This window comes from Homo sapiens, chromosome 8, assembly GCF_000001405.40.
Source record: "Homo sapiens chromosome 8, GRCh38.p14 Primary Assembly".
NCBI lineage: Eukaryota > Metazoa > Chordata > Mammalia > Primates > Hominidae > Homo > Homo sapiens.
The window spans coordinates 130,370,436-130,383,552 of NC_000008.11; the positions used below are offsets into that span (position 1 = coordinate 130,370,436).

The 13,117-nt window shown below is 45.7% G+C and overlaps 1 protein-coding gene across 18 annotated transcripts in view, besides 1 other annotated feature; it reads right to left on the minus strand.

The window, feature by feature from the left end:
- ASAP1 (ArfGAP with SH3 domain, ankyrin repeat and PH domain 1) overlaps positions 1–13,117 on the minus strand; it is a 391,571-nt gene that overhangs the window by 318,332 nt on the left and 60,122 nt on the right. The window lies entirely within an intron of this gene.
- Positions 5,519–6,095: an enhancer, noted in NCBI's record as "H3K27ac-H3K4me1 hESC enhancer chr8:131388200-131388776 (GRCh37/hg19 assembly coordinates)". NCBI's record gives its function as "activates a minimal SCP1, AML or CMV promoter by ChIP-STARR-seq in naive H9 embryonic stem cells {active_cell/tissue: H9 hESC(naive)}" and the evidence as "EXISTENCE:reporter gene assay evidence [ECO:0000049][PMID:30033119]".

Genomic DNA, 13,117 nt, shown 5'->3' on the forward strand with positions numbered 1-13,117 from the left:
CTGATCTCAGACTTCCAGCTTTCAGAACTGAGAGAAATACATTTGTTGTTTGTAAGCCATCCAGTCTAGGGTAATTTGTTATAGCAGCCCAAACTGACTAAGACACTCCTAGGTATATACACAAGAGAAATGAAAACATATGTGCACATAAAACCTTGTACACCAATGTTCACAGCAGCATCATTCTTAACATTCAAAAAAATGGAAACAGCTCAAACGTTCATGAACAAACAAATGGATAAACAAAATGTGGTATATCCATACAATGGAATATTATTCAGCCATAAAGAGTAATAAAGTACTGGCACATGCTACAACATGGATGAAACTTGGAAACATTATGCTAAGTCAAAAGTCAGATACAAAAGACCACATACTGTATGATACCTTAAAGGTCCAGACTAGGCAAATCTATAGAGACAGAAAGCAGATTAGTGGTTATCAGGGGCTGTGGGGGAAGTGGTAATGTGCAATGACTACCAGTGGGTACAGGGTTTCTTGTGAGGAGTGACAAAAATGTTCTGGAAATAGACAATGGTGATAGTTCTATCATTTTGTGAATACACTAAAAACCACTGAATTGTATATCTTAAAAGTGCAAATTTTATATGAATTATCTCAATTTTAAAATAACCACTATGGTGGTGAAGATGGAAGGCATACCTTACCTGTTAATAACAACTAGAATGACGATGATTTAGTATCTACTATATACAAGGCAATTTATTTATGATTTTCTTTAACCCTCACTGCAACCCTACAAAGTAGCTATTATTCTCCTCATGTTTAATAGATAGGAAATTGAGACTCAGAGAGGTTAAGTGCTAGACCTAGGGTGCTGAAATGAGTAAGTGGTAGAGTTAAGATTCAAACAGAAGTCTATCTAATTTCAAAGTTCAAGCCCTTTGCACTAAACCGCACTCTCTGTACAAATGGTACTCTGCTGATGTGGCAGGACTACCAGTTATGTACCTGCTATGTAGTCCCCGTTTCTTCACTAACAGAGCCCCAGTTTGATTCGGGGCAGCAATGTGTTTAGCTAAAAGACTCATCTTCCAGCCTCCCTTACAGCTAAGGTGGCTATATGGCTAAATCTAGCCAGTGAGATGTAAGCAGAAATGCTATGTAGGAGTTTTGGTAAAGTGCCTTAAAAAGGGCTAACACAGCTGGAAGAGGACTCCTGTTATCCTTCCCTTCTTATTGCATCTTGCTGCCTACTGTAATGTGGTTGTGACGGCTGACACTCCAGCAACCATTTGGGATCCTAAAGCAATATGATAAAGAGAGTAGAACCAGGGAAACAGAAAAGGCTTGGGCTCCTGATAACCATGGAGGCACTGACTAGCTTTGAACTACCTCCAGACTTCTCTGGTCAGAGAGGGAAAACAAACAAACAAACATAATTGCTAATGTTATTTGGGTTTTTGTTTGTACAGAGTTGAAATCTAATCCTAATTTATATAATGGGCCCATGAAAATGCTGAACCAACTAAGAATATATGAAAACGGCTTATCTCAGAAGTGGTCAAATGAGAAGCATTCTACCAGAGTCATTTTCCCAACTAGTCCTCTGTGTTTGGGATTGTATATTTAAGAGGCTTAGGGATCCTACTGAATTCTTCTGAAGACATGCAACAGGCCTATTTTGTGGCATTATAGAATCACTGAAAAGACTGGTCTCAATTCACCAAGTACAGGCATTACATTTTATAAGCACTTAAATTTCATCTCAGAAATTGTTTCAGAGATACAGTCACAGAGGAGCCAACAGGCTCCCACAGAATGGATTTCTGAAGAAGCAAATTTATTTACACAACCCTTGCACAATTTGGCTAAGGGAGAGGAGACAAGGCAGATTCCACACAGGAAGGAAGATGATAAAGCTCAAAGACTTCTTTGCTTTAAAATCAATGTTCTGCCCAATCTCTCCAGAGCAATCATTTAAAATTCCACAATAATGTTCCCTGCCAAAGAGACAAACAGCAATGGGCTTGCCACAGCTGAAACAGAACCCCAGGTTTGCTGTTAATTTGTTTACATAAAATAGATGTGATACCTACCAGTGTATTATCTATACCCCAACAGCAGGTTGATACAGTACTGTTTGGTAAAGAGTGGCTTTTCTTTGGTTTTCCTTCTTTCTCATCAGGGTTCTTTAGAATTCAAGCCACAATGACATAAGTGAGGATGAAACATTTGCAGGAAGAAAAGATTTTTCCACAGTTTTTTTCTGTAGCTTGATATATCTAATTTTGTATGCACTATGGATGGCTAGAGCTGGTAACCCAAATATTCCTTATGAGGGCAAAAATTCTGGTTTTATTTTCTGTTACAGGCTGTTGCCTGAGAGAGAATTCAGATTGAAATGTATTACAGTCCTTTCTCCAGGACTTGGCTGGAATTTTTACCCCACTCTTTCCTTTTCTGAGAGAGCACACTCATGCATATGGACACATGGACACATACACAGACATATAGACACACATACACAGACACACACGCATACACAAATACACAGGCATATACACACACAGACATACACACATACGCACAGACATACACAGACACAGACACACATACACACAGACACACACACACATACACACATACAGACCCACACACAGACACAGACATAAGCACACACAGACACCCCCCCACACACACAGAAATACATATACACACACACACACACACACACACACACACACACACACAGAGTCTCATCTTTTCTGGAAAACAAGAGCCAGAAAAAAAAAAAAACCATGTAAATCTCTAGACAGACACATTCATTATGAATGGCTTTTTTTTGCATACAAAACCTATGGATTTTAATCACAGGTGCACCCTCTGAGCTTTCACTTGCTCCCATTTTCTCTTACCATACTCAAAATTCTAACAAGTTTGGTGAGCTAGTTTTTAGACCTTCAACAAACTGAACACAGCAGTTATGCTGGGAATAGTGAAAAGGGGCTACAAGGAAGGGAGGAAAATGTACCACCACAAACTAGAAATTTACTAATACACCATTCCACAAAAAATAAATTCTAAATACATGGGCCTGCTAATTAGTGAAAAACACTCTACTCAACCGATCCCAACCTCAAATAAGTGATATTCAAAATAATAAACTTGGCCAGGTGCAGTGGCTCACGCCTGTTATCCCAGCACTTTGGGAGGCCAAGGAGGGTGGATCACCTGAGTTTGGGAGTTTGAGACCAGCCTGGCCAACATGGTGAAACCCTGTCCCTACAAAAAATACAAAAACAGCCAGGCATGGTGGCATGCACCTGTAATCCAGCTACTTGGGAGGCTGAGGCAGGAGAATTGCTTGAACCCAGGAGGCAGAGGTTGCAGTGAGCCGAGATCGTGCCACTGCACTCCAGCCTGGGTGACAGAGTGAGATGGAGTCTCCAGAAAAAAAAAAAAAAAAAAAAAAGATAAACCTGTGTAATAAAAAAAGGTTTTAGGCATGATGCTATATTCAAGATACCATGCTGGATGCAGATCTTTATAAGAGTTTCCAATCAAATCAGCAAAGATAATATAAAATTAAAAAATATTTGGTGCTCAAAGGCCTTGGAGAAAGTGTAACTCCCTTTAAAAAAAAAAAAAAAAAAAAAAGCAGCCATGTCCAAGCTAAGCACAGAACTTAGAAGTCAAAAGACCTGCAATCAAATCCTTGCCCTACTATTTACAGATTGCATGACATTGGGCAAAAGAATCAACTTAGACATACTTTCCTCATCTCTAAAATGAGGCTAATGACAGCAACTTCAGAGGCTGTTATAAACATTAAATAAGATATGTGAGAGTACAACATATGTAGCCCATAAATGTTCTTTCAATCCAAAGAACTGAGATTTTACTACGTATGTGAATCTTCATTGTTTTCCATGAAGCTAATACTAAAAATATTATTTCTCTGATGATGTTAATTAAAATAAAAGGATAGGGCTGGGACCAGTGGCTCACACCTGTAATTCCAGCACCTTGGGAGTCCAAGGCAGGAGGATTGCTTGAGCCCAAAAGTTCAAGACTAGGCCGGGCGCGGTGGCGCACGCCTGTAATCCCAGCACTTTGGGAGGCCGAGGCATTTAGTTAGGGTCAAGCTTTGGTCTAGGTGGCTATATTATTTTGTATAATTGCTTTTTAACAAGCTTACATACTTGTCGACTTTAATAAAATGCAAGTTTTGCCCAGCTCAGCGAACTGGCATCATCATCACTTGCTTCCCGATGGGGAAGCAGCACAGATGTTAAAGTTGCGCTGAGCAAGTGTGTCTGAATCCTGACCTGTACCATGGTTGCAGCTTCCACAGGAGGTGCCCAACCTCCTAGTCCTGGAAAAGGTCAGGAGCCCAGTGCATCCAGCTTCTTTTCACACAAAGAGGATAACAGAGCTGCAATGATTTATCCCTTAAGGATAGTGGTGTCGCTGTTCACAGAGCCCCCAAACACAAGACATCCAAGACTACCTCCAAGGTAACATGTGAAAGAGGATTCCACAAAAAGAATCATTTGTGGGCCCCCTTCAGGAATCTGCCTCTTAGCAAAGTCAGCTTTGGGATCTTAGCCTAACTGGACTCATCACTGGCTGCCTCACCTCGTCCACTTGCACATTTATGGCTCCGGTTTCCTAACTGCTCCATATTGCCACTCTCAGCCTGGGGCTACTTAAGACAGCTGCCTTCCCTGGTGGGCACTTGGGGATCAGCAGGCGCAAAGAACCTAGGCCAGTGTCAGGGATGGTTTATGGTTATTGTCTTGTGCTTAGTCGCAGGGCTCTAAACCCTTGGATCCCCCAGGCGTTAGGAGGATAATGCGCCCTCCCTGGTTAATATTCTATTGGCCACTGCAGGAATGGGCCATGGAGAGTGAGACCCTGGAGAACTGCTGGGAAGAGAGGCCCAAGGGGTCTGGCTATGGTTAGGGGTGGGGGAGCAGCAGAGGAAAAAAAAAAAGTAATGCAAGCAAAATGAGCTGGGCATAGTGGCTCATGCCTGTAATCCCAGCAATTGGAGAGGCTGAGGCTGAAGGACTGCTTGAGCCCAGGAGTTCGAGGTTACAGTGAGCTATGATTGTGCCACTGCTCTCCAGTATAAGTTGGACTCTCGAGGGAAAAAAAAAAAAAGGTCTCCTCCCTCTGGTTTCACTGGAAAGTGCTTTGAAATGTGTTAATAGAAAGTTTAGGCAAGTGAAGTCCTACCAGCAAGAAATGGAGGGCAAAGAAGGGAGTTCCCATGACTGCCCACCTGCCTTCACTCAACCTCTACTCCTTTGTTTTTTTAAATCTCCTTTAATTCTTACACTATCCTGTGAGTGGCATAAGATGTTCCCCACCTTATGCACAAGGAAATTGAGGCACAGAGAGGTTAAATACTAAAAAGCATGATTTCAAAGCCAGGACTGTTTTCTACATCAGCTGTCTACAGCCATACCTTTGCTGATGTGCCTGAGAAATGAATAATAAACAGGAAAACATACATTTCCATGTGATCTGATGTCCTGAGGAGTAGTGGGGAAGGCGGGGAGTTAATTTACCTCTACCCCTGCCTCTTCAGAGACATAAATACACATTGGCACGCCATACACAAATTAACAACAACAACAAAAAGACATAATCAATTTGGAATTAGAGCTTCCAGGAAATGTGGGCTCCCAGATGCACATACTACAGTAATTCAGGTTGTTTCTCTCCTCTCTCTCTGGTTGGGAGCTATTCTGATACTTTCCATTTGGAAGCACAGATAGGGCCTCCTAACCACAAGGCGTGGAGATGTGGTCACAAGGCTGGGCTGGGTGCTCCACCCTGAATGCCAGAGCATCCTGCTGGGTCCACACAGCCAGGGCCTGGTGGAATCCGCATCCAGGCTGCTTTTCTTTCCTTTATCTCAGGAATTCAGGCAAAGGCTATAGGACAAGGCCCAGTCATCTCAGTAATTGTGGCTGTATGCAGCTGGAGCAAGAAGAGCATGGCATTTATACTTGCTTCCTTAAAAACAAAACAAAAAGGCCTGGCACGGTGGCTCACGCCTGTAATCCCAACACTTTGGGAGGCCGAGGTGGGTGGATCATGAGGTCAGGAGTGCCAGACCAGCCTGGCCAACATGGTGAAACCCCGTCGCTACTAAAAATACAAAAATTAGCTGGCCATGATGGCGCGTGCCTGTAGTCCCAGCTACTCGGGAGGCTGAGGCAAGAGAATCGCTTGAACCAGGGAGTCAGGGGTTGCAGTGAGCCAAGATTGCGCCACAGCACTCCAGCCTGGCAACAGAGCAAGACTCTGTCTCAAAATAAATAAATAAATAAATAAAATAAATTAGCTGGGTGTGGTGGCAGGCGCTTGTAATCCCACATACTTGGGAGGCTGAGGCAGGAGAATCGTTTGAAGCCGGGAGGCAGAGGTTGCGGTGAGATGAGATCGCACCATTGCACTCCAGCCTCAGCAACAAGAGCAAAACTCCATCTCAAAAAAAAAAAAAAAAAAAAAAAAAAAGTCTTGCTCTCCAGTTTCACATCCAAGTTGAAATGGGGCAAGAGATGTGAAAAGTTTTGCGAGAACCACAGAAAAGAATCAGATCATCTCAGAGTTGAATGGACTTTGCCATCATCTTCCCCATGACAAACCTCACAAATAGCATGGACAGACAAACACACATACATCACTTAGAATTCCTGAGCCCAGGAATGGAAAACCAAATATCATATGTTCTCACTCAAAAGTGGGAGCTAAGCTATGAGGATGCACAGGCATAGGAAGGATACAGTGAACTTTGGGGACTCAGGGGGAAAGGGTAGGAAGGGGGTGAGGAATAAAAGACTACAAATTGGGTTCAGTGTATACTGCTCACACAAGGTGATGGGTGCACCAAAAGCTCACAAATCACCACTAAATACCTTATTCAAGTAACCAAACACCACCTGTTCCCCAAAAATTAAATTAAAAAAAAAGAATTCCTGAGACCATGTGTGATCGACAAGCAGACATTGCAGAAGGGGTGTTTTGTACTGAAGATCAGTCCCTTGTTGTTTATTCATTTGACACGCACTGACCAAGCGCCTCCTGCCTGCTGGCCTCTGTGCTGAGTACCGGGATGTAAACGTGAGCAATACAGGGCCCCAGCTCTCAAGGAGCCTATGGTCAATCAGAGTATGCAGATGGCCTGCCAGGCCCACTCTGTACCCTCCTTCTCCTGCTGACCTGCTCCAGACACATCTCAGGGCTCCTCCACCCTCTGGCTTCTACCTGGATTCAGGCAAAGGCATGTGGTAAAATGCAGCCAGCAGAAAGTCAGAGGAGGGGAGTGCTCCCCTGCTCTCCAGGCTCCAGCCCTCCCGGCTGTGTCTCAGGGTGCTCTCCACACAGCCTCTCTGGCTCCTGCTTCCCAGAGGCCTCCTCTCTCTCACCCCTTCAGACCTTTGAGGATCTGGGTGCCCGACTAATCTCTATGGTCCCCCTGCCCACTGCCCACACTTCTCTCTTATTAAACTCTCTTCGGATTACCCTATTTCCAGTGTGCTGTCTGTTTCCTCCTGGGACCCTGACTGATACAGGGAGACAGCCATGTAAACAGACAGTTACAACATAATGCAGAACAGTAAAAGATAATGTTGTTTCCCAGTGAGGTAAAAGAGCTCTGGAATCTGATTGCTTGGGTTGTACATCCTTGCTCTACTACTGACTATCTCTGTTAACCTCTTAATCCTCAGTTTGCACTTTTGAAATATGCGGTTAATAGTAGTGCCTACTTAATAGGGTGGCCATGAGGATTAAACGAGAGTGCCTCAATGCTGACAAATATTAGCAGGGATTCCTATATAGTTAATGGTGCAATTCCTTTAATAAAGCAAGTGACTGATGAATGATGGAAGCACTAAAAGAAATAGATACTGGGACACAGAAGAAGGGACAAGGCAATGGTAAAGAGGAAATCAGGAAGGACTTCACGGCGAAGGTGACACTGAGCTGCCTCCTGAAGGAGGTTAACTAGCAGGATGGCTGGCAAAGGATGGTCCAGGCACGAGTACAGCAGGTGCAAGTGCACGGAGGCTTGACACGCACATAGATGTGGAGTGGTGCAAATAGCTCAGTGCAATGAAAACAAATAACACGTGCAGGGAGGGATTGGAGCTGAGGTCAGACGGGTAGGCAAGGGTGGCCGAGGAAGACCTTGGATGTCATGTCAAGGAATTTGGTTGTTGCTTTAAAAGTGAGGGAGAGTTTCTAAGACGGCAATGGACACGAACAGTTTTGATGCTGAGAAGGTTCAGTCTGGCTGCAATGTTGGGCCTGCCCTGGGCACCGCATGAACACACAGTAGGTGCCCTGCAGATGTCTGTCAAATGCATATTAGCAGTTCTAGACAGCAAGATCTGTCACCTCCCTACTTCCTTCCAATAAATGTGCACACATATAACATGCCATGATCTGGGCAACTCACAGTCACAGGCCTTTCCACATGTTTTCTCATCTGATCTCATTAATATTATGAGATCATTGTGGTATCATAAAAAATAGATTTGGTCTTTGTCCTTGACTTCTGGCACAGAACTCTTGCAGCCTCCTGAGTGGTAAGAGTGTCTTCTGTACGCTAATGAGACGGCCAAAAAGATGTCTGGGGGAAGAAGAAGGACTAAAGATAGAGCTCAATCACCAATGGTCAATGATCTAATCAATCATGCCTATGTAATGAAACCTCCATAAAAACCCCTAAACCACAGAGATCAAGGAGCTTCTAGTGGGTGAGCACAGCCATGTTCCGGGAAGGTGGCACGTCCCGAGAGGGCATGGAGACTGTACCACCGCCCCCTCCCCCATACCTGGCCCTAGCATCGCTTCTATTGGGCTGTCCCTGAGTTGTATCCTTTATAATAAACCAGTAATAGTAAGTATTTTCCTGAGTTCTGACGAGATCAAGCGTGTTCAGGGTGGTATGGCTGTAGATGTATTTTCCTGAGTTCTGTGAGTTCTAGCCAATCATCACACTTGAGAAGGAAATTGTGGAAACCTCTCAATTTATAGCTGGTTGGTCAGACACACGCAGCCTCTGGGAATTGTGACTGGCATCTGAAGTGGGAGCTGTTCTATGGGACTGAGCCCACAGAATTGTGGGGGTTGCCCTAATTCCAGACAGTTAGGGTCAGAATTAAATTCAGTTGTTGAACATGTAGTTCGGGTAGGAAAATTGGAGAATTGCTTGGTATAGAGAAAACCCCAAACATTTGGAGTCAGAAGTGGTGTCAGAAAGAAGACATTGCACCTGGAAACACTCTACTTCACCAGAGATGCTGGACGCTGCCTGTGCCATTCCTGCTGAGACACTCCCCGGGCCCTACTGCCACAGTGACACAAGAGGCCAGTGCTCATCAGGGTGGCTCTGCCCTCACTAACTCAGTGGCTGATTCAACTGTCCCTCTGGGTGTGGCAGCTAGAGGCACTAGGGACCAGCCAGACACCACGCCCTGAGCCTGGCACACTCATGTCACTGCTCCTTGTCCTCAGGCTCAAGGTCTAGAGGCTGCAGGAGACTGGCCAGGATCCCCCTGCGACCTCACCCTACTCCCCACCCCTGACAGTGGGCAGCTAGCCTGCACCAGACATGTGCTGGAGGGACAGGCCCTCTCCTCCTACTAAGCACCTACCTGTTGGGCACCCCAGGTCTCAGGTTGGGTTCCCCCAGAAGCCCAGCCTGGAAGGAGGATCTGAGTACAAGGAGTCTATTTGGGAAGTGATCCCAACTAGATGAATGGGGAAATAAAACAGCGGCAGAAAGGAAGCCAACAATGGGTGTACTGCAGAGCAGGTTACCACTGAAGGTGACCTTCGGGAGATGCTAGAGAACACACCTCAGAGCTGTGCACCTGAGAAGCAGGATGATGGAGTGTGTATTCTCCAACTCTGCTCCTTCCTTGGCTGAGGGCTGCTCCTGGGGAGTGAACTCCCAGCACTTCTGACCTGCCCTGCATGCAGCCTGAGCATGCCAAAGAAACCCTCAGGAGCAGCAGCCTGAGGGTTTGCAGGGTGCAGGGTGCAGGGAACCAGGGTGCGCCAAGGGGACCCAGGGGGAGCACCAATGTGGTGCCTGAGGACTCCACCAACCGGCTGGGGTCACTGTCCTCAAGGAGGAGCACAGACAAGTCAAGAGGTGACTATAACCCATGAAGGTAAAAGCAATGGCTGAAGGTGCTTGAAGGGCAGTGCTGGCCAACAGAAATATAACCCAGTGCAACCCATGCATGGAGTTTCAAATTGTCAGCAGCCACAGGAAAAAAGTTAAAAGGAACACATGAAATTAATTTAATTTTTTTAGAGACAGGGTCTCACTGTGTCATGCAGGCTGACGTGCAGTCATGAGCTTATTGCAGCCTCAACCTCCTGGGCTCAAGTGATCTTTCGCCTCAGATTCCTGAGTAGCTGGGAGTACAGTTGCGCACCACTACACCTGGCTACTTTATTTATTTATTTATTGAGACAGGGTCTCTCTCTCTTGTCCAGGCTGGAGTGCAGTGGCGTGATCCTGGCTCACTGAAACCTCGCCTCCCGGGTTCAAGTGACTCTCCCACTTCAGCCTCCCAGGTAGCTGGGACTACAGGTATGCAATACCACACCTGGCTAATTTTTGTATTTTTTTGGTAGACATGGGATTTTGCCATGTCGTCCAGGCTGGTCTTGAACTCCGGACCTCAAGTGATCCACCTGCCTCAGCCTCCCAAAGTGTTGGGATTACAGGGATGAGCCACTGCGCTCAGCCCCAGCTACTTTTTAAATATCTTTTGTAGAGAGGAGGTCTCACTGTGTTGCGCAGGTTGGTCTTAAACTCCTGGTCTCAAGCAGTCCTCCACCTTGGCCTCCCAAAGGGCTGGGATTACAGCTATGAGCCACCTTGCCTGGCCCAATTTTAATAACATATGTCATTTAACCCAATATATTCAAAATACTATCATTTCAACATGGATTGAAAGAAAAATTATTAATGAGACAGAGTTTTTCATACAAAGTCTTTGAAAACATATATTTTAGACTTATAGGACATCTCCATTCAGACTAGCCATATTTTAAGTTCTTAGTAGCTACTTGAAGTGGCTACTGTATTAGATGACACAGTTTGAGCACCAAAAGAGAATGGAGAATTGTGCACCTAAGGGACAGGATGACGCCTGGCTTGGAGAATGCGTCCTCCAAGCTAGAAAAGAATCACTACGGTGGCTTCTCAAGGCACTTAGAATAAAATCTACTCCCATGACTTAGTCTAAAGGCCTTATATGACCAGGCCACTGTCCATCTCCCTGACCTCACTTTCCAAACCTTTGTCCTCTCTTCTCACTACAGCCCTGCTTTTTGTCATTTCTGGAACACACCCCCCTGAGGGCCTTTGCACGTGCTGTTCCCCTCAGCTGGAATGCCCTGCACGCAGGCCTCTGCATGCTTGTTCCTTGTCACTCTCCAGGTCTTATTCCACAGGGTCCCTCCTTCCTGACCACTCTCCTCCCACCCTAATCCCCATCTCTTGTTCTCCCTTTACCCGTGTTTATTTTCTTAAGGTACACACCATCAGAAATTACCTTGTTCAGGCCGAGCATGGTGGCTCAAGCCTGTAATCCCAGCACTTTGGGAGGCCGAGGCGGGCAGATCACGAGGTCAGGAGATCAAGACCATCCTGGCTAACACGGTGAAACCCCGTCTCTACTAAAAATATAAAAAATTAGCTGGGCGTGGTGGCAGGCGCCTGTAGTCCCAGCTACTCGGGAGGCTGAGGCAGGAGAATGGTGTGAACCCAGGAGGCGGAGCTTGCAGTGAGCCGAGATTGCGCCACTGCACTCCAGCATGAGTGACAGAGCGAGATTCTGTCTCAAAAAAAAAAAAAAAAAAAAAAAAGAAATTAAAGATATCACCTTGTTCATTAATATTATTTATTGATTTTATTGTCTCTCCCACTGTCCCCGAATCTCCAGCTTCTAGACCAATGCTCAGAAAAATACAAGGTGCTTAATAAAGATGTGTTGAATAAGTAACAAGTAACTGCTCTGATAAAGGAGAAGCAGAACAGGGAGGAAGGACCAAACTCACTCTGACACAGGCACTGTCATGTATTCTCATTTGTATCCCCAGCACGCAGTGCTACCACCCAATAGATGCTTGTTCAAAAATGGAAAATCAATCCCAGCACTTTGGGAAACTGAGGTGGGCGGATCACTTGAGGCCAGGAGTTTGAGACCAGCCTGGCCAACATGGTGAAACCTCATTTCTATTAAAAATACAAAAATTAGCTGGGCATGGCGGCACACCTGTAATCCCAGCTACTCAGGAGGCTGAGGCAGGAGAATTGCTTGAACATGGGAGGTGGAGGTTGCAGTGAGCTGAGATTGCGCACCACTGCACTTCAACCTGGGCGACAGAGCAAGACTGTCTCCAAAAAAAAAGAAAAGAAAAGCAATTAATGATAGGGAAATGGGGCGGGAGGGGAGGGGTAAAGCTTTCACTTTAGCCAGAGAAAGCTTCATTGAAGAGTTGGGTCTCAGGGATGCATGGGAGTGTGCAGAGTGGATAAGGAAGTCCCAGCAGAGAGAACAGCATGTGCAAAGGCACAGAGGCACAGAAGAGCATGGTATATGTTGCTAATACACACTGACGGTCTTCCCTCTCTCCTGGTTTCCCCTCTCTCAAAACAAGGGCTTGCAAGGCTCTATTCGATCTTCTGCCTGGAAATGACATCTTACCTTCAATCTGGTCCCCATTCCCTTTTTGCCAAACCTCCCTGCAAGGCAGGCAGACTGCTCACTTCTCAGAATTCTCCCCCAAAGGATTCCCCAGGCTCCAGCCCCTGGGAGGAGTGCTTCCTGCCTGGTAGCATATGCCTGCAGCCAGTGAGCGTGGGTGCATGTCCACATCCCAGACTTTTTGTCGAAAATAAATTCTTTAGAGTGGACTACAAGCCAGGAGTCTGTAAGCACAGAACCAGTAGAGACCATCAAGGGGAGAAAGCCTGCCTGAAAATGAGGCCATCTGAGAGGACAGCAGAGCCCAGAGGATCGACTATGAACCAGGCACAGTGCAGAGGACCTACTATATACCATGCACCAGGTACAGAGTGCTAAGCTCTCTCATGAACTGCCTTGTT